This window comes from Homo sapiens, chromosome 10 (genome assembly GCF_000001405.40).
Source record: "Homo sapiens chromosome 10, GRCh38.p14 Primary Assembly".
NCBI classification, from domain to species: Eukaryota; Metazoa; Chordata; class Mammalia; order Primates; family Hominidae; genus Homo; species Homo sapiens.
This window is the reverse complement of record NC_000010.11, coordinates 97,849,842-97,870,368: the sequence shown is the minus strand read 5'-3', so window position 1 is coordinate 97,870,368 and position 20,527 is coordinate 97,849,842. Positions and strand designations below refer to the sequence as shown.

The 20,527-nt window shown below is 49.6% G+C and overlaps 2 protein-coding genes across 2 annotated transcripts in view; one reads left to right on the top strand and one right to left on the bottom strand.

Annotated features, from left to right (window-relative positions):
- CRTAC1 (cartilage acidic protein 1) overlaps positions 1 to 5,369 on the top strand; it is a 165,622-nt gene extending 160,253 nt beyond the window's left edge. Inside the window, exon 15 of the mRNA NM_018058.7 lies at positions 4,655 to 5,369. Within this exon, the coding sequence (NP_060528.3) occupies positions 4,655 to 4,821 (167 nt within the window). The 3' untranslated portion in view covers positions 4,822 to 5,369. The remainder of the gene's footprint in view (positions 1 to 4,654) is intronic.
- Positions 1 to 20,526, bottom strand: part of GOLGA7B (golgin A7 family member B) — a 21,736-nt gene extending 1,210 nt beyond the window's left edge. The window contains exons 1-5 of the mRNA NM_001010917.3: positions 20,054 to 20,526; positions 10,786 to 10,911; positions 6,287 to 6,439; positions 6,100 to 6,201; positions 1 to 4,779 (exon numbers count right to left, since the gene is read on the bottom strand). The exon at positions 1 to 4,779 is cut by the window's left edge and continues 1,210 nt beyond it. Coding sequence (NP_001010917.1) covers positions 4,669 to 4,779; positions 6,100 to 6,201; positions 6,287 to 6,439; positions 10,786 to 10,911; positions 20,054 to 20,065 — 504 coding nt within the window. The 5' untranslated portion in view covers positions 20,066 to 20,526 and the 3' untranslated portion in view covers positions 1 to 4,668. The remainder of the gene's footprint in view (positions 4,780 to 6,099; positions 6,202 to 6,286; positions 6,440 to 10,785; positions 10,912 to 20,053) is intronic.
- Position 20,527: the final 1 nt, after the last annotated feature.

The window sequence follows — 20,527 nt, the reverse complement described above, 5'->3', positions numbered from 1 at the left end:
ACATGGTGCATATGCATTTTTGTGTCTGGCTGCTTCTGTGGAACCATAAACTTCTTATTCAGGTCTCAGGCATTTTCAGAGGTGTATTAAAGGCTTATAGGCTATAGGTACTGTCAAAACCAGGGATTCTCAGCCTTACCTTCACATTAAAATCACCAGGGAAACTCTTTAAAATCCTGATGCCCAAGCTGTCCCCCAAAACAATTAAATCAGAATCTCTGAGGATAGGATCAGGCATTGGTGATTTTTCATGCTTCCAGTTGACATCCATTGCCACCAAGGTTGAACGCCTCGGGTCTAAACAACTCTGTGAGATATTAGTCTCCCTATTTAACAACTGGGGAATCTGAGGCTCCAAGAGTCTTCATGTGTCAGTGTCATGAAGCCAGAGCTCAAATTCAGATCTGATGTGGAGTGGTGTTTGCCTTGCCTTATCCCTGGGTGAATGGTAAAGCCCAAACCAGGTGGTGATGCCTCCTGTCTGGGCCCCCCTCATTGTGAGTCCTTCTAGAGGTGTGGAGAGGGATGTGGAGTTTCCCAGGCTCGACAGCCCAGGGGCTGGCCCTAGGGAGAAAGTCACCAGACTCCACCTTTGCCCCACACCTCTGGAAGCCACAGAAAAGTCCCTGCGGGTGGCAGTGGCTGCCAACCGGGGAGCCGTGGGGGACGTGTCACAACAGCCATAGTTCTTTCTGTCTCCACCTTTGATTCCCCGAGTGCAGTGCATAATCCTGCCACTCAGTGGCACCTCGAGCTTCTGTAAACCCTGTGGTTTCACACACACCCGCCCTGTGGCCAAAGGAAGGAAGCCAGACAGCAGGGTGCTGGCGCAGGGAGAGGAGCATGTGCAGCAGGAGCTTCCTGAGGCATGCCTGAGTGGCTGGGGCCTCACTTGGGACCTCGGGGACAGTCTGGCTGAGGCTGGAGCTGCTCCTGGGTCTTGATGGGGCCTGTCCCTGGCTGGCAAGGTGGGTGCAGGGACATGGCTACAGCCAGACCCCGGAGAGACAGGCCACCACCTGTAACTAAGCCAGCAGAGAGAAACCACACCTCCCCAGGCCCACAGTGAGTCGAGTCCCCCACTACCCTTCACCGGGCTGCCTCTGGGTCCCGCATGCCTGCGAGCACAGCCCATGCACCCTCCCGTGATGCCCTGGAAGTGGAGGTGCCAGCCCGGCCTCAAAACCCAGGCATGGCTCCAAGTCCTTCCCTGGGAATCTGCCTGATCCTAATCCCAGGACGGCTGAGGCCCTCAAGCTGTTAAGCGGCCTCTGAGGCTGGATCTGTCTTCTTCCTTGCAGTTTGGAGTCAGATTGCCTAGATTCAAAGCCAAGATCTGCAATTTCCCAGTTACTTAACGTCCATGAGCCTCAGTTTCCCCATATGTAAAATGGGAAATAAGAATCCATGCCATAGAGGGTTGCTGTGAGAATTGAATGACTAATTATGTAGAGTCTTAGCCTAGTGCCTGGCACATAGGAAGTGCTAAATAAACGTCAGCTACTATTATTATTATGATTACCATTTGAAAATGGAAGGGTTGAATGCCTCTCAGTCAGATAAGCACCCAGATTTGGTTTTACCCGTTTAGTAAATCCTCACCCCCTCCCCAGGACCTCATCTCTAGAAGAGCTGAGTTTGGATTCAAATCTGGCCTCGGGGTAGAACAAACTTCCTATCCCAAAACAGAATGAACCTGCCCTCATATTAGAGAACACGCTCACTTGTGGCAACCCACACACGGCCCAGGTTCCAGCAGAGGGAGTGAGTCCAGGCTGCACACAGCTCACTGCAGCCCTTAGCGGCAGTGACAACAAACATGAGAACCACCCAGAGGGGACTGCCCAGCCCCCACCTAAGAGGCTGGAGCCGTTGTCCCCACAGTCTGATGAGCCCCTCTCTGGGAACAGGCCTGAGTTTGTGATCCCAGCCTCCCTGCAGCCTCAGGCAGCTTCCCATCTGGGTGCCATCCCTGTGGTAACAGAGTGGGCACTGAGTCAGGAGACCTGGGTTCCAAGCTTGGGCCCTGTTATCATCAACCAGCTGTGTGGCCTAGGGCAAGTCACCCACCCTCTCTGGACCTCTGTGACAGGATTCAAGTGATCTTTAAATCCCCTGCCAGCTCTAACATATGGTTTCAGCAAAGTATCTGGCACATAGTAGGTGCTCAATAAATTATAAAATTCAAGACACAACTCTGCTAGGTTCCAACATCCAGCTACTTTCTCCATATTTGATCTTGGCCAAAAGGCCGAGAAGTGATCATCCAGCTACTTTCTCATCTTCAGTACTGAGTGACCTGTGTGATCCAGCTCCCAACAGGACCCAACCCAGGGGAAGAGCTCAAGAAATGAGGATTTATTGATATCATTAATTGATTACTTTTGGCCTCGCTTTCAGTCCAACCTGTTCCCCCACCCAAGGCTACAAGTGCCCCAAAGATTCCAGATTAGAGATGCTGAGGTGTCTGCCTCTTCAGTAGACTGCAAGCTCCAAGAAGACAGAGTTCATCCTGCTCCCCATGTCAGGTCCAGTTCAGGCAGCTGAGTATCCCCTCATGTGGTCCTGGAGCATAGAACTGACCCTCCATCGTCACGGGGCAGAGAAAGCATCACAGAGCTTCACGCTGGGCAAGTTCTTTTATTGGAAAAAGAAAAAAAAAAAAAAGGCCATAGCACTGCCTGTGCCCAGCCCTCCCATGGGAGATGCACAGGTCAGACACAATGCCCAGCCCCACAGGGGCCCAGGGAGGGCATAGGCCGTGGCCAGGGGCTGCGGTGGAGCCCACTGAACTGCGGCTCTCCAGGGGGATCCTTGGACCAGGACTCACTTGGGCCGAGGACTTCCTGAGGCTGCAAGGACTAGGCTGACTCTCTCTGGTCTCTGGGTAGGCCCTTGTATCCTACATGCTGCTCCCATGTCTGGTAGAAAAGCAGGCCTCTCTTTGACTCCAGAGAGCTACCTCCAGTGGCTGGTCTTGCACATCCACTTCTAACACCTCCCGCCAACTGAGATAGGCAGCCCCCTTCATTTCATCTTCGGGACACCAGCCCCAGGGGCTGCTCCCATCCCACCTGCTCCTCTGGGCCTCAGAAGCCGGGCATCATTGGCTGGACATCTCCTTTCCTTGCAAGGAGGGAGTTTGCCTTTCCCCTGCAGGCTGCTGGCACCTTTGAAGGTCCATGGAAACCTCACCTACAAAGCCTTAAAGAGCCCCAGCCCCTGGGCAGGCTGAACACACAGTGTCTGCAGCCCCGTTGTCTTGTCATGGGGAGCTGAGAGGGGGCACCAAAGGCCACCAAAGTTTGGCTCTTCTTTCCTAGAACCCCGGCTTCTCTTCCACTAGAACATATGCAGTAGAGTATGTTCCCTGGTAGCCCTAGGGGAGGGGCAAGGGGCTTTTGGACATTTACTTACAGGGGGTCAGGCTGGACCCACACAGGGAAGAAGTCACAGACCCTCAGGTAGCGAAGACAGCAGGATGCAGAGAAGCAGTCGTTGGCCTGGCAGCCAAGGGGAACACACAAACACACTCACACACACATGCACTCACCTGCATACACACACACTCATACACATGAACACTCATACACACATGCTTGTGCACACATGTTCATGCACATGCATGCACTCACACTCATATAAATGCACATTTGTGCACACGTGTGTGCACATGTACTCAGACACACACAGGTGTGCTTATAAATGTGTCCACATTCATACACTTGTGCACTGGTGCACACACATGCGCTCACACACGCGCTCACATACAGGCATGCTAACACACGCAGACTCACACATTTACGCACACTGCACTTACACACATGTGCACTCACACATACATTCACATGTGCATACACACAGGTTCTAATCTCAGGAAACTGGCTGTAGTTCAGGAGATTCAGGCCCCGCATGGCTATGTCTCTTCACGGAGTTTCCCAGACCCCCATATTACCTCCCAGAGCCCCAGGCTCTGTGCCCCCCAACCAGCACCTGGCAGCCTGCAAAGTCTCAAAGTTGGATGCTTCTCGCAAGGCCGAGCTGGCCTCTAGCTCTGAATGCAGGACAGGAAAGCCATAGGTCTAGAAGAGGTCAGGAGTGCGCTGAACAGCTCCCAACCACGGCACCCGTCTCCCCACACCTTGAATTTGGTGGAGGCAGGATCATAGACAGGCCGGGGCCCTGCAGGGGCATGAGAAGGAACAGATACTGGGAGACAGCCACGGGACGCAGGGCCCAAGGGAAAGAGTCCTGGTGGATATGGGTTTGGGATGAGGGGTCATGCAGTGTGGGAGTCCTCTATGTGGCAGGCCTCGGCCCCCCTCGCAGGGTTGGGAGAGGGGCTGTGGAAGAGAGGGGCCGCCTAGGTTGTGTTCTCCCCACCCCAGCCTTCCTAGGAAGATCTGTCTCTGTGTGGCCCAGACCAGCCCCATCGGGAAGGAAAAGCCCCCAGGTCAGGAAATGGACTGATCCAGACGGGGGTGAGGGACAGGGGGCATAGGTTGATGGCCCACAGGAAATATGAGGCCCGTCACCCTCCCTCCCACCCCGGGCAGCAGGGTGAGCCCAAAGAATGACTCAGAAGCGGGTGCTCTGGTAGCGCAGCCGCCGCAGGTCTGCAAGGCCCTCACTCCGGCCATACACCTCCCTACAGGGACTCTCGGCCAGTCACCGGGCCCCCGCCCCACCACCCCCACCGCTGCTGCTGCCACTGCCGCTGCTGCTGCCGCTGCTGGAGCTGCCACTGCTGCACCGGTCCTCGTAGATGGAGATCTCAATCTGGGGTCGGTGGTTAAGGAGAGCTGCGAGCCCAGCTGCTGAGCAGGGGTGGGACATGAACCAGCGGATGGAGTCCAGCAGGGGAGTGGGAAAGTGGGCTTGTGCTGCTGCCTAGACAGTAGGGATGTAAAGGCCTGGGAGCTAGACCCTCCCCAAGCCCATCCATGCACATTACTTAGCTAACAATTAGGGAGACTCGTAAGGCCAGGCCCTGTGCTGGGCACATAGCTGTGATCACAGCAGACAGGGTCGCTGCCCTGATGGCGCTTACATTCCAGTGGGTCTAATGACCATATCTTAGGACACAGATGTGCCCAGGGAGGTGGTGTCACTGCACAGGAAGTATGAGGACTTTAGTGTCCTGAGTTCAAATCCTGATTCAGGAACTCACAAAGCTATGTGACCTTACACCAGTCACTTAACTTGTTAGCCATCCATTATCGCATCTGCAAAATGGGGATTAAGAATAGAATCTTGGGGTTAGTGTGGAGATTAGATTAAATGTATGTAAGACACTTGGCACAAAACCTGGCACATAGTAAAGGCTCAATAAAAACAAGTGCCTCTCACTGGGCTTTGTCAACACGTGATTCTGGGTGTTTGTGGTTTTTTGACTCTGTTTCTCCTCAGTTTTCCAGTAAACCTTATTTTTTAGCAATTCTACTCGTGTTGCTGCTGCCCGGGGGGAGGGATTTGTGCACACCCAGATCACACTATTCCAAGTGGAGATAAAGTCAGCAGAACCACGCCCCACCCCCGTCCAGCCTCTCACCAGGACTGAGACCTTGGGGTAGTCACATCATTCTAGACCTCATGTCTCTCATCTGTGAAAGGAGGACAATGCGACCTGCCACGGGAGATTCCATGAGGATTGCATGAGACTGTGGACCTGTAAATGAATGTGGTGATTTGCATATTCCTGGAGGGGTCTTTGTAGTTAAGGGTGAGCCTGGGTGCAATTCCTGGCTCCCACATTCACCAGCTGCACGACTCTAAGCAGGTTGCTGGGAATAATCAGAGCAACCCACCTGGTAAGATTGTTATGAGAAGTACATGAATTCGTATTTTCAAAGCACTTCACATGATAGCTGGCATATTCTAAGCACTGATTACATGCAGCCCAACAAGTGCAAATCCTGAAACTCACAAAGCCTCCAATAACTTAGGGTGGTGGAGGAGGGCTGAGGACCACTGATGTGGGGAATCCTGGGAAAACCTGAGTGGAGGCCCCTAAGGTGGCCTCGTTTCCTGGCAGCCTCACCAGGATCTCTACTGGTTAGCAGTCCTGTGCCCTCAACACAGAATAGCCCAGAAGGATACAACCCTCATCCCACGCTCCACAGGGTCTGTAAGTAGGAGGCCTCGAGGTGCAAAGATCTTCTCATTCTGCTCCTGGATGTAGCGGGAAATCTTCTTGAGAACCTGCAAAAAGAGGAGCCAGACAAGGATGAGCATGCCACAGGGCAGCCCTGAGGGAAGGGATGCACGGTGGGGCGGGAGGGGCCACCTTCTCATAGTGGGTCTCCATGCAGAGGAAGATGAAGTAGGCCGTGGCGCAGGCCAGGCAGCCCTCGAGGTAGGAGCTGCCCCCAATCTTCTCAGCCTCTGCGTAAAATCCGTTGAGGGTCTTCACAGTCTCTTCAAAGAGCTGCCGCTCGATCTGGAGAAAGGGACAGAGCCAGGCTGCGGTTAGCCTCCCTGGAGTGTGCACAGTCACAGGTAGGGCTGGAAGTGACAATGGTGGGGCCATGTAGATGGGGAAGATGACATTGGCACACAGGCAAGACCAAAGAGGCTGCAGGCAGAGCCGAAAGAGCACTGGCCTGGGAGTCAGGAGACTGGGGGGGCCAGTCCAGACTTGGCCATCAACTAACTGGCTGAGTGACATTGAACTAGCAGCTTAACCATCTAGGCTTCAGTTTCCTCATCTATAAAATGGGAATAAGAATGGCTGCTTGTCCTCCCTTGGAAACAGGAAATTCCCATGATATCCTAGATGTTTTCTGCAGAAGATCAAACGAGTATTCTAGTGACTTTGACACGTCCCATCTTGCTGGTTGTGAGAGAGCTCAGGACTAGATTCATAGGGGCTCTCCATGTTTGGATGGGACTGCATGAGACTGCTTCAGTGAGACCTCAGGGGCATCTCTCCAGGAAGGGGCATTTCCTTCTAGCTCAGAGGTCACCCACAACACCACCACCCTGTGTGTTTGGACACCTGAGAAGCTGTCCTGCCCGTATCCATAATAGGAATGGCTAATATGTATTAAGCACTTTCTGTGTGCCAGGAAATGCACTCTTTCATTTAACTCTCAGAACAATTCTATCAGAAAAGTACTACTGCCATCCCCATTTTACAGGTGAGGACTGCTCTGTGGTCCTAAGACCACGCGGACCACGAACTGCTCTGTGGTTCCAGCTGCCACCGTCTCTGGCCCCTTCACTGGCCTCCCTGCCCCTGCTCCTGCCCTAACTTCCAGTTAAAGTCAGATTATGTCACAGCTGTGATCAAGAGCTCCCACAATCTTCCCATCTCTCTGCAAGTTAAATCCAAGAAGTCCTTACAATGCCCGCTAGGCCCTCCATGGCCCGACCCTGCTACCCCTGGGCCCGTCTCCTCCTCTCCTCTTCACTCAGTACCCCTGCTTCTTGAAATTTCCTCAGGCCCTTTGTGTCCATCTCCTTAGCTGCCACACTTTCCCCTGCAGGCTGCCGTGACACCCTTAACACCCTTGGGTCTCACCTTATTCAACAGCCTCCCCCTGTGCCCAGGATCATTCACCTCTCCCCAGCACACCCAACCCCCGTGACATCCTCCCCTTATTCTTCTAGTATTTGTTACCTCCTGAGTGAGGTATATTTACAGTTGACCCTGGAACAACATGGGTCTGAACTGTGTGGGTCCATGTATATGTGAATTTTCTTCTGACTCTGCCACCCCTGAGACAGCAAGATCCACCTGTCCTGTTCCTCCTCTTCCTCAGCCTACCCAACATGAAGATGACGAGGATGAAGACCTTTATGATGATCCACTTCCACTTAATGAGTAGTAAATATATTTTCTTCTCCTTATGATTTTCTTAACATTTTCTTTTCTCTAGCTTACTTTATTATAAGAATACAGTATATAATATACATAACATGCAAAATGTGTGTTAATAAACTGTTTGTATTAACAGAAGACTCCCAGTCAACAGTAGGCTACTAGTAGTTAAGTTTTTAGAAAGTCAAAGGTTATATCCAGATTTTTGACTGTGCAGGGGACAGGCACCCCTAACCCTGTGTTGTGCAAGGGTCAACTGTATTTGCTTGGTTTTTTATTTTCTACACCATCTAATAGAAAATAAATGCCATGAGTTTACTCCTATATCTCTAGAGACTAATACATAATCAATAAATACTTAGTGACTGCTAAGTAAACTTGTCCAAGGTTACAGCTCTGACTCCAGTCTGTGCTCTTCACTGTGTAACACCAGACAGCCGGGAAGGTCACATTCCAAACTCAGCAGGTGTCACAGTGTCAAAATAGTAGCCCTATTTTTCACATTCTTCACAGTACCTTCTTCCTCACTCATGCAGCAGGACCAGAAATGCTCATCACACAGTTTAGGGACCTCCCTGCCTCTCTAGGACAAAACCTCTGTCCAAGAATAGTTGGAAGCTTAGGAGTTCCCCCTACACAGACCTGGGGAGAACTCATAGAGAAAATCCTATGAAAATCCTGCCCATCTAGTCCATGCCACAAGCCCTGCTGCTCCACCCTGGGGGTCACCCCGCCCTAAAGGACAAGCATGCTAAGATGAGAAAGAGGCCCACATTCTCTCCGAAAGCTGGCTCCGGGTCATATCAGTACAGACCATCCCTGCCCCCACTTCCCAAACCCATTCAGATCTACCTGGGCTGCTGAGTGAAAGCTCAGGATCTGCCTTCTGGCTTCCCCAGTCCCAGGCCCACTCTAGGGCAGCCTAGGATGAAAGCTGAGGACACCCCTGGACCAGAAGCAAAACTCAGCAGCTGATGCCTCACAGCAGCCTGAGGTCCATGAGTCACCCAACTAGCTGAGTCTAGAGGCAGAGGCTGTAGGCAGAGCCCTTGGCTGACTGCCTTTTATGCCACCCAGCAGACTGTGGGATGGTGCATCTGGCTCTCCCCTTTGCCTGAGGCAAGGAGAAGGGAAAAGCAGCCTGCAGCTCTTCCTTTGAGTCTCTAAGCTTTCCCTGCGAGACTGTGATCATGAAGACATTTAGTTTGATCTGTACCCACAAAAGATGCAATTGTGTCAGCAAGAAAATAAGAGTCCTGTGAAAAAGCAGAGAGGCGGGGCACTTAAGCCTGTCTGGTACTTACTAACTCCCATAAGTCACTTCTTTCTGGCCCTCAGTTTCCTCTGTTAAATGAGAGGGATGGACTAGTGTGGAGCTTCTCAAAATTTCATGCATATCTGAATAACCCAAGGAATAGATTAAAACCCAGATTCGGATTCAGCAGATCCAGGGAGGGAGCTGAGATTCTGCATTTCTATCAAGCTCCCAGGTATTGTTGATATTGTTGATCCACAGGCCACAGTTTTAGTAACAAGGACTTAATGGTTCTCAGCTCCAGCTGCAAACTGAAATTATCTGAGCAGCCTTTAAACCCTATGATGCCCAAGTCTCCCCCACCAGGAGATTCTGAGTCAATGGTCTGGGAAGGGGGAGGATAGGTCAGAGCAGCAAAGATCACCACTGCCCTGCCCTACCCAAGCTGACGCCCTGCAAGCTTCCTTTTTCAAAGTTCCCAGGTGCCTCTAAGGTGTAGCCAAGGATGAGAAGCAGCGCTGTTTCTGAAGAAGACCAGCTGAACAAGACTAGCAATTCCAAGTGTAATCTATGAACCACTTGATTCTGATTCACCTGGGAATTCCTCATTAAAAATTAAGGCTTAAGACCTAGTATTTGGGCTGGGCATGGTGGCTCACACCTGTAATCCCAGCACTTTGGGAGGCCGAGGAGGGCGGATCACTTGAGCCCAGGAGTTTGAGACCAGCCTGGGCAACATGGCAAAACCCCGTCTCTACTAAAATTACAATAAATTAGCCAGGAGTAGTGGCACGAACCTGTAACCCCAGCTACCTGGGAGGCCGAGGCAGGAAGATCACCTTAGCTGGGAGACAGAGGCTGCAGGGAGCTGTGGTCACACCACTGCACTCCATCCTGGATTTCCATCAAGGGAAAAAAAAAAAGACCTAGTATTTGATAGCACAACAGGGTGACTATAGTCAATAATAATTTAATTGTACATTTTAAAATAACTAAAAGAGTATAACTGGATTGTTTGTAACAGATAAGATAAATGTCCGAAGTAATGGATGCCCCATTTACCCTGATGTGATTATTACACATGGCATGCTTGTATCAAAATATCTCATGTACCCCTGCTAGGTACCCACAAAATTATAAATAAATAAATACTAAAGTTTAAACAATCATGATTAAAATTCATTTCAAAATTAAGATTTAAAACTATGCTGATTCCAGAGTCCCACCCCTAGAGAGTCTAATGTAGTTGGTTTGGGCTGCAGTCTGAGCATCAGGATTTTTTAAGCTCCCCAGGAACCTCTAATGTACAGCCAAGGTTGAGAACAGCTGCTAATAAATGGAGACTCCTGAGCCACAGTCCAACAACTGGATCAGCACTGCTGGACAACACCTGTATCATCCAGTAGGACTCAGGAATTTCCATTTGTTTAACAAGCTCTCTATATCATTTTTAGGCAACTGAAACTTGAGAGCAGCCAGACCAGAAAATCCCTGAGATCCCTTCAGCTCTAATTTTCTATGAGGAGACAGTAAGACAATATTAAGAATCATCCTTTTGATTTTTTAAAATTCATCCTTTTGAAGTGGCCAAACATGTTACGTGTCCTATGATATTATGTGTCATAGGATCCTGGATAAAATACATTCCAATAAGAACCTCAGTTCCATCACAGCCCTGGGTTCCAAGTGCAGAAAAAGGCATCCTTACCCGGCTGTCCAGCTCTGGGGGGAATTTGGTCTGGAACTGACAGATGGTCCCATCGCTGTAGTCTCTCTGGATAAAGACCTTGGTGGCCAGTGAGGCACTTCGCCGGAGCTCCTGCAGATTGTGGACCTGAGGAGACGTGCGGGCGGCATGTGCTGAGAGTGACCATCCATCTCGGCATATCCCAAATGCAGGGGTTTCCCAGAATGCAGGTCTTCCAGCACTAACACCAGGAAAGTTCCCAGCATGCAGAGACAAGCTGGGCACTCTACAGGTGCTCCAAGAGGCCAAGGGAGGCAGGGCTGTGGGGTCTACCCAAGAAGCTGCCCTGAGCTATCCCAGAGAGATCTTTTAAAAGCCTAAAGCAAGGCTGGGTGCAGTGGCTTGTGCCTGTAATCCCAGCACTTTGGGAGGCTGAGGTGGGAGCATTGCTGGAGTCCAGGAGTTAAAGGCTGCAGTAAGTTGTGATTGCACCACTGCACTCCAGCCTGGGTGACAGAGCAAGACCCCAACTCTAAAAAAATTTTTAACAAGCCTAAAGCAGGGCCAAAGTTGAGTCTCTCTCGCACGTGCACGTGCACACACACACACACACAGAAGAACCTTTCATACTTTCATTCATTCACCAAGTACCAAGCGTTCACTTGTGAGACCCTGTGCCTGGGGAACCCAGCACTGAACAAGACCAGTGCTCCAGTCCTGCCAAGTGGAGCTCACAACAGAGTTGCAGGCAGGGAACATGTGGGACAGAGGAATACCTGAGGTACCCCTGAACTCAGAGACTGGGGTCCAGGCCGAGTTTTATGGCCCCGGCCAGAGAGCACCCCAGATGCTTTTCACATCCAGCACTTCTCACCACAGGAAACAAAGGGCCCATGAATGTCCAAACTTCTCCAGAGAATAGTGTAGATGAAATGGACAGAGGCCAGAAATGGAAGAAATAGCCTTCCCTGGCAGGAAGGAGAGGGGAGATATCTGTCCCTTGTGCACATCTGTGGACTTCACATTGACACAGACTCTAGTGTTTGAGGGGAATGGGCTCAATTCCACAGAACAAGCCCACTTTTTCCACCTCTCCAGCCTCAGTCACCCACATTCAAGACAAGCATCCCACTGGTTGAAATATGCCCAACACTGAGAACACGTGGAGACCAAGCCCCAAAGGCAGAGTGAACAACAGCCAGTTCATCCCATGTAATTAAGCTGGATCCATTCAGTCACTCAGCTCTCATTTATTGAGTCTCTCCTAGTGCCAAGCTCTGGGGGTGCTGAGCAAAAGAGTCTGTGAGCTCCAGGGAGGAAGACAAGTAAATATATAATGAATTAGACAGTGACAAATGCCACAGAGAAGTAACATCTTACCCAGAAATGCTCACTCAGAAAAGGCCTCCTGAAGCCTGTGTTGAGTCATAAAGGAAGTCCAGGGGTTACCAGTAGCAGGGGGCAGGCAGAGAGTGTGGAGAGGGAGGAAAAGGCAACCCAGGCAAAAAGAGAAGCTTGCGCAAAGTGACAAAGATAGAGCACATGGTCTACTAGAGGCAGATTTCAGCAAGAATGGAGGTGGTTTGCAGATTAGATAAGAAACAGTGGGAGATGAGATTGTAGAGGAGGCAAGGGTCAGATCACAAGAAGCAGGAAAGATTCCTGCTGAAGGGGAGGATTTAGGATGACAGATACTTAAACTTGCTTAAACACCGGGGAAAGACTGTGTTAAAGATCAGTTGGTTATAGGTATGTTGCTTTATTTCTGGGTTCTGTGTTCTGTTCCATTGGTCTATGTGTCTATTTTTGTACCAGTAACCCATACAAAACCTGCTGTTTTGGTTATTATAGCCTCGTAGTATAATTTAACGTCAGGCAATGTAATTTGTTCTTTGCATAGGATTGTTCTTTGCATAGGATTGTTCTTTGCATAGGATTGCTTTGGCTATTCAGGTTCTCTTTTGGTTCCATATAAACTTTAGCATTGTTTTTTCTAATTCTGTGAAAAATGATATTGCTAATTTGATAGGGATTGTGTTAAATCTGTAGATTGCTTTGGGCCGCATGGTCATTTTAATGATGTTGATTCTTCCAATCCTTTAGCATGGGATGTCTTTCCATTTGTCTGTGTTATCTACGATTTCTTTCATCAGTGTTTTGTAGTTCTCCTCATAGAGATCTTTCATTTCCTTGGTTAAATGTGTGTGTGTGTGTGTGTGTGTGTGTGTGTGTGTGTGTGTGTCTGGCTATTGTAAATGGGATGGGGAAAGGACTCCCTATTCAATGAATGGTGCTGGGAAAACTGGCTGACCATGTGCAAAAGAATAAACTGGACCCCTAGTTCTCACCATATACAAAAATTAATTCAACATGGATTAAAGACTGAAATTTAAGACATGAAACTGTAAAAATTCTAGACGAAAACCTAGGAAAAACTCTTCTGGATATTGGCCTAGGCAAATAATTTATGATGAAGTCCCCAAAAGCAAATGGAACAAAAACAAAAATAGACAAATGGGACTTAATTAAACTAAAAAGTTCTGCACAGCAAAAGAAATAATCAACAAAGTATACAGACAACCTACAGAAAGGGAGAAAATATTTGCAAATTATGCCTTTGACAGAAGACTAATATCCAGAATCTATGAGGAACTCAAACAATTCAACAAGAAAAAAAACAACCCCATTAAAAACTGGGCAAAGGACATGAACAGACATTTCTGAAAAGAAGAAATACATGCTGCCAATAAACGCATGAAAAATGATCAACATCAATAAGCATCAGAGAAATGCAAATTAAAACCACAGTGAGACATCATGCTACACCAATCAGAATAGCTATTATTAAAAAAACAACAGATGCTGGCATAGATGCAGAGAACAGGGAACACTTATACTCTGTGGGTGGAAATGTAAATTAGTTCAACCTCTATGGAAAACAGTATGAAGATTTCTTAAATAACTAAAAAGAGAACTACCATTCAACCCAGCAATCCCACTACAGGGTATCCTCCCAAAGGAAAATAAATCATTATGTTAAAAAGACACCTGTACTCATATGTTCATCATAGCACTATTCACAATAGCAAAGTCATAGAACCAACTTCAGAGTAACAACCATCAACACTTGACTGGATAAAGAAAATGTGGTATATATACACCATGGAATACTACACAGCCATACAAAATAATAAAGTCATATCTTTTGCAGCAACATGAGTGGAGCTGGAGGCCATTATCCTTAGTGAACTAACTTAGAAACAGAAAACCAAATACCACAAAACACACTTTCTCACTTATAAATCTAAGCTAAACAAGAGGTACACATGGATATGAAGATGAAAATAATAGACACTGGGGATTCCAAAAGAGGGGAGGGGGTGAGGGTTAAAAAATTACCCATCGGGTACAATGTTCACTACTTGGGTGATGGGTACACTAGAAGCCCAATCTCCACCAATATGCAATATACCCATGTAACAAACATGCACATGTACTCCCTGAATCTAAAATAAAATAAAATTTAAAAACAAACAAAAATCTTGGGAAATAATAAATAACTAGGAAAGGTTATCAATAAAGTAGAAGGAGCAGATAATTGGTAGATCAAGGTCCTGAAAAGGTGGGAATCCAAAAACACTATATGTGACTTTCCTAAATCCAGGTGGACCTTGCTGTATGTACGAAATGTGATCTCAAAGTATTGTGACTGGATTAAATAATGTATAAGCCCTCCTGTAGGCTTATATGAGTTGATTCCTCTAATCAAGGTTTTCATTGAGGAAATCCCCTTGATATCTACTAGGAACCTATGATAACTCGGAGAAATAAGGAATGCTTTGGTAATATAAATAAGTTAATTGTTAACATGTCTGCTCTGGTTAAGGTTTTATAATGTTGTATTTTCAAGAGTAAAGAACAAGGCTATGGCCTTCCTCTGCCCCTCTAAAACCAACTTATGAAAGTCAGTCAATCTTGAGGATGGACTCCCCTACCCCTAGAAGGCTCATTCTAGCAGTTTTGTGGGAAGTGGACAAGACTGGGGTGAGGGGCCAGTTGGAGGGATGATTCTCTTTCTAATAGTCCATGGAAAAAACTAAAGAGGTGGTGAGAAAAGCAGTGGTGAGAATGGAAAGAAAGGGAAGAAACCATTCTGATATGGACTCAGCTTCCTGTCCTCTGACCCATACAAAACCTGCTGTTTTGGTTACTATAGCCTTGTAGTATAATTTGACGTCAGGCAATGTGATGCCTCTGGATTTGTTCTTTGCATAGGATTGCTTTGGCTATTCAGGTTCTCTTTTGGTTCCATGTGAACTTTAGCATTGTTTTTTCTTTTTTTAGCATTGTTTTTTCCAATACTGTGAAAAACGATGTTGCTAATTTGATAGGGATTGTGTTAAATCTGTGCCTGAATGCACACATGTGTACACACATATTTGTGTGCTGTCCTGAAGGCGTGTGTCTCTAGCGACTGGCTAGCTACTGACCCAAGCCATTTCTTCTTCCTCCTAGGCATACAGCTATATTAATTCCCAGCCTCCCTTGCAGTTAGGTGTGTCCCTATGACTGAGTAGAATGTGAGAGGAAGTGACGAATGCCATGTGTAGGCTTGATTCATAAAGATGTACCATTTCTCCCTGCTCTTTCCCCTTTCATGGAGGCTGGTGGAGCCCTGTGTTGAAGATAGTGACACCACAAGTTGGGAAGAGCCTTGGTCCCTGAATCACTGAATCACTGCCTTGAATCACCGCCTGGAATACCTGTTGATCAGGAACACTTACCTGGAACTTCACTGAGCAGGATACAAACTTCTATTGTATTAAGCTATTAATACATTAAGATTTGGGGGTGCTACCTTACATAATAAATTCCCATTTCCTCTTGGCTTTGATCCACAGGTTCTCAAGTAGCCAGAGTAGGATAAGTCAACACCCTTTTCAGCACCAACAATATCCTGAGCCTTAGACTACTATCCAGGCTCTGGGTGACCAGAGATCTGCTTCTCTCCCTGGAGAGTGTTTGTGGAGGAGCAACTCTGAGGAGTTGCTAAAGGATGATATCAGACACATTTTATATGGCAGAGCCTTAGTCTCCCAGACCTACATAGAGTACATATATTACAGACTCATCTGAAGTTGGTGAAGAGCCGGATTTAAGGCAAGGCAGGGTCTCCTGGTTTTCTCCATTCATGGTGGCTTGAGTGTGAAGTGCCAGGAAGCCCTAGTGGAAAGATGGCCCACTGACCTGGGGGCAGGAGACCTGACCCTGGGCCACATGGCCCTGGGAAAGTCTTCCCTTCTCTGCACCTCCATTTCTTCAACTGGAAACTAAGAAACTGGAACTACATCATTGCTCAAGCCCCTTTCATCTCTGACATTCTAGAGGCTTTATCAGGGATTATGAATGCAAATGTTTACAGGGGCTGAGCAATAAGTGGGCCAGGTGGGGCCTGGGGCTAATTAGAAAACTGGTGCCCCATCTCAAGGAGACAGATGACTATTGCCACGTGGGAATGTATACCCAGGTTGCCAGCACTTCTGGTGTCTCAAAAGAAGCCAGAAATCTAGATCTTTTTAACATCAAATATTCTGATTTTTGAATATTTCCAATACATTTTTAAAATGTATAAGCACTCAACAGACTAAGTAAGGCACACCCATGGACCAGACTCATTTCTAGAGCTGCTAGTTTAAGACCTCTAAATAAAGAATCCCATGGCTGGGGCCCCTTGGGCAAGAGCTAAGCCAGGCTCCAGGCCACTGGCCAGCTACTAAGTTTTCAGAAAGCTGGTGGGGTTTTCAGCAGAGATCCGTGATGCTCTGAAATCCTACCAGAGGATATCAAAATATGTGCACAACTCTCTCTGAAGCTGCAGTTTCTGTGTTTCCCCTGGGTGTCTCCCAGGGGGTTCTTAACTGACCCAGAGACCTGAGCCTCTCTCCACTTCTCACCTTCCTCAACCCTGCCCCTCTCTCCCATTGCCACCCCTGGCTCACTGGCAGCAGAGTGAAGACAGGGCCGAGAAGCATTTCATAAGGAAGAAAATCAGTGGTGAGACCCATGGGTACCAATTTTCAAACTGCAGTATGAGAAGGAGGGGGAGTCTGCCTGGAGAGTGGGTACCACAGGTCACACATTTGGCTCCTGTTCACCTGACAGTCAACTAGCTGGGGTGCAGAGGAACAAGCTCTAGAGTGCAAATGAGCTCCTGGTCCAGTCTGCCCAAGTCCAACAGGAGTGCCCCCCTGGCGCCATCTTCATCCTCATTAAAAACCATCTCATTCCATAGGATGCATGTGAGGCATCGAGAATTAGGAGGTTCCGCTGATGCCAGCACTCTGCTTCCTGGCTGGGGTGTGAAGGAGGAGTGAGGATCATGAGTCACAGACAGCCAGGTCAGGCCTAAGGATAAAACACCAGCCACAAGACCTCCCTTCTTCTCAGCCTGTACCAGTGCTCAAGCCTGACCCAGTTGTCTACTCATCATTAATTCCATGCCTCAAAGATCAAACCTCCAAACACCCTGCTTGAATAACGCTACTTGGATGCATTTAAAAATCTCTTAGAGACCAAACCCCACCACTTGGAGAAGCCCCTCCCAGCCAGGCACTTCCCAGTTGTCCTTGGCCATCTGGACTATTTCCCAGGGCAGACCCTGCTCCCAGTGACACACATTCACAGAGGTTTGCTGCTCAGAAAATGGGCTCATTGCAGCTCTCCAAATGAGGTCAGTGTATCACTCAGGAGGCTCCATCCCTCCTCTGAGTTCCTTACAGACACCTCTCCCCTAATGCTAACTCCTAAACAGAAATTAGGGAACAGAAAAGACCCAGTTTCCACCCATGAATTTCTTCCCTCTCCCTCACCCCTCCCTCTCTGTCCCTCTCCCCACCCCCTTCCTCTCCCTCTCTCCTTCTCTCAATACAGCTTCTCCTAGAGCTGAGGAGTTCCTATTGAGAATCCTAACAGAATAATCATGGGAACTTAAAGCGATGTTTTCCCTCTCCCAACAAGTTTATCCTGGTAATCTCAACTCAATTCTAACAGTAAAAACAGCCTTGGGAGAATGACTCACCCCACAACCCAGAATACGTGCAGGTCCTGTGCCCTGGCAGAGCTAAGGCTTCCTGCCTCAGTTCTGCCATCAGAGTCCACCCAAGGCCAAATTGTGAAGTGAGGAATGTTTGTCCTCAGCTCCCCATCACTCCGGGACTTTCCTCTGTCCCTCTGCCCTCAAACCAACCCAGCCAGGCCAAGCAGGGGGCCTGAGTCCCCACACTCCAGCCCTTCATGACTTCCTTTGCATCCCTCTCTCCACCAAAGCTTCACATCAAGACCTGGAGGGCCCTCCTCTCTATCAGGTGACACAATAGGCTAATTGGATGCAGGAAAAAAAAGCACTGGCCAAAGAGGCAGAAGACTCAAGTTCTTATCCCATCCCTGCCACCTTTTAGCCATATTTTCCTGAATAAGTCTCAGCACTTCAGTTCCATCATCTGTAAAATGGGATAATGATGCCTTCTTTGGCTCCTTCACAGGGACCAGGCAAGTTTCTGAACCTTAGTTGTCTCATCTGTTAATTGGGCATAATAACACCATCCTTACCCACTTCATAGGGCTGCTCTGAGGCTTGAAAGAGATCACTTATGCGATAGTGCTTTGTACACAGGAAAGCGCAATATTTTCAGAGGCGTTATGAGCAGAGCCCCTCCCAGGGGAGAGTCACACATGTCTCATAGCAGCCTCCTGGAAACGCTGTCTTGACATAGAGATAGAAGCCTGCTGGTTGGAATCTGTGGGCCATGGCAGACATCCTGGGACAGATGGGCCTGTTGGAATCTGTCAGATCACATCGCAGAGGCAGCTGCCTTCTCTGCCCACGCTGCTGGCCCAGCCATGCCCATGTAGCTGAAGTTCCCCTTTTCTGTCCAACACAGCAGCCTCTGCTGCAGTCTGGCAGCCCTATCTGGAAGGTAACCAACTCCTTGGTTTCTCCCTTTGTTCTTCCTGCTGTCCTCCATGTCTTTGGTGCTTTGTGAGTACTCTGCATTCCTCTACTCTAGAAACCAAGCTCCCAGGGTCTGCCCAGGGCTTGCCCTCACACCAAGTCCTGAGGGGCAACTCTCCGCCTAGCTAACCTTGTGCCTTGTCAGAATGCCAAGCAATGCCAAGCAACAGCACCTTGTTCTGTGGTGGAAACTTGAGTGGAATAACAACAGCCACACTTGGTATTAATGTCACACTGCTCACCAGGATGCCCAGAAGCACTGCATTGAATCATTCACAGGCCTCTGCTCTCCCCCAGTGTATGCCAGCTGGATTGGAAATGGGGAGACACCACAAAGGAAGTCAACATCAGAACTGGGGAGACCCTGATGTCCTGAGTTTCGCTCCAAAAATTCAAAGGCAAAAACTTTCCGCTCTGCTGCTGACATGCTGTGTGGAGTAGCAAATTAGTCCTTTCGTTTTCCACACATCACCTTTATCATGTATAAAGTGGGAACATAAAGAGCCCAATCTCCCTCCTGAAATGAGGGGGGAAAGGGCAATCCCTAGGGGTAGAGGGGGGAATCCTCGACCTCAAGCATTATACCAAGATTCTGCCCTTAGCTAACAGGCCCCGTGGTTCAGCCTTCAAGTGCTTGAAGGTGACACACCTATCAGTGCACCTTGAAGAAGGCAGAAACTCCCATCAGATGGAGGGGAAATCTGGACACCCTGGGACAAAAAAAAAAAAAAAACTCGAATGGGGTAAAAAAGCAAGAAGGGTGATATGCAAAAGTGGAGACCAACCATTTGGGTTCTCAGCCTGAGGATGTCTTTGTCCCCTCCCTCCCGCAAAGGAAATGCGGATGTAGAGGTAAGTCTGTCATCCCTTAGCCAAGCTTTTGGGTTCAGAAGCTGACTGCATAGCAACAGCGGACAGCCGCCTTCCCTCCCCTCACACACGCACACACACGCGTCTCCAACCCTCTAGGAAAGCGGTTTCAGGACTTGTGAAGTCCAGGGAAGGGGAAACCCCAGCCTGGGGCCCTGAAGCAACCCTGGCGCTAATGCCAACAAGTGTCGCGGACAGCTTGGGGGCTCAGGTGGGGCGAGGGGAAGATTGACACGCAAGGGGGAGATGAGCCCTCACTAAGCCCCTACCTCCTCCCTCCAGACCTGACCTGGGGAATCACCCCATCCCACCCCCAACTCCCGCCTCCCACTCCTGCCCAGCCCACCCCTAGGGCATTTGGTCCCGCGGCAATCGGGCACTGCCTGCGGGTGGGGCGCTCGCCCCTACCTCGGTGGCCATGATCCGGGGGCGCTCGGAGGCTGTCGCGGGGCCGGGCGAGGGGGGTCTCCGCGGTGCTGACCCCGGGAGCAGGTGGGCGGCGGCGGTGGCGGCGAGCTGGGGCCCGGGGCGCTGTCCGCAGTGCTGATGCGGGCGCCGCGGGCCCGGGCTCAGGTGGGCCGGGGGCGGGCGGGCGGCTGGGTCCAGGCAAGGGGCGCGGCGCTGTCCGCTGTGCTGAGGCAGGCGCCGGGCCCGGGAGGCGAGGCCGCGCCCGAGGCTCCTCACGGCCCGATCGCCCGCTGCCGCGGCTCCTGCAGGCAACGGCCGGGTTTAGCTTTGGCGGCGGCGGCGGCGGGGATGGGGGCGGCCGGGGGAGGAGGGGCCAGGAGCCGCCGCTGGCCGGGAGGGGGAAGCCGCGGCCCCCAGACTCCGGCGCCGCCGGAGAGGAGCCCCGCCCGGGCCACAGGCTCGGCTACCGCCCCG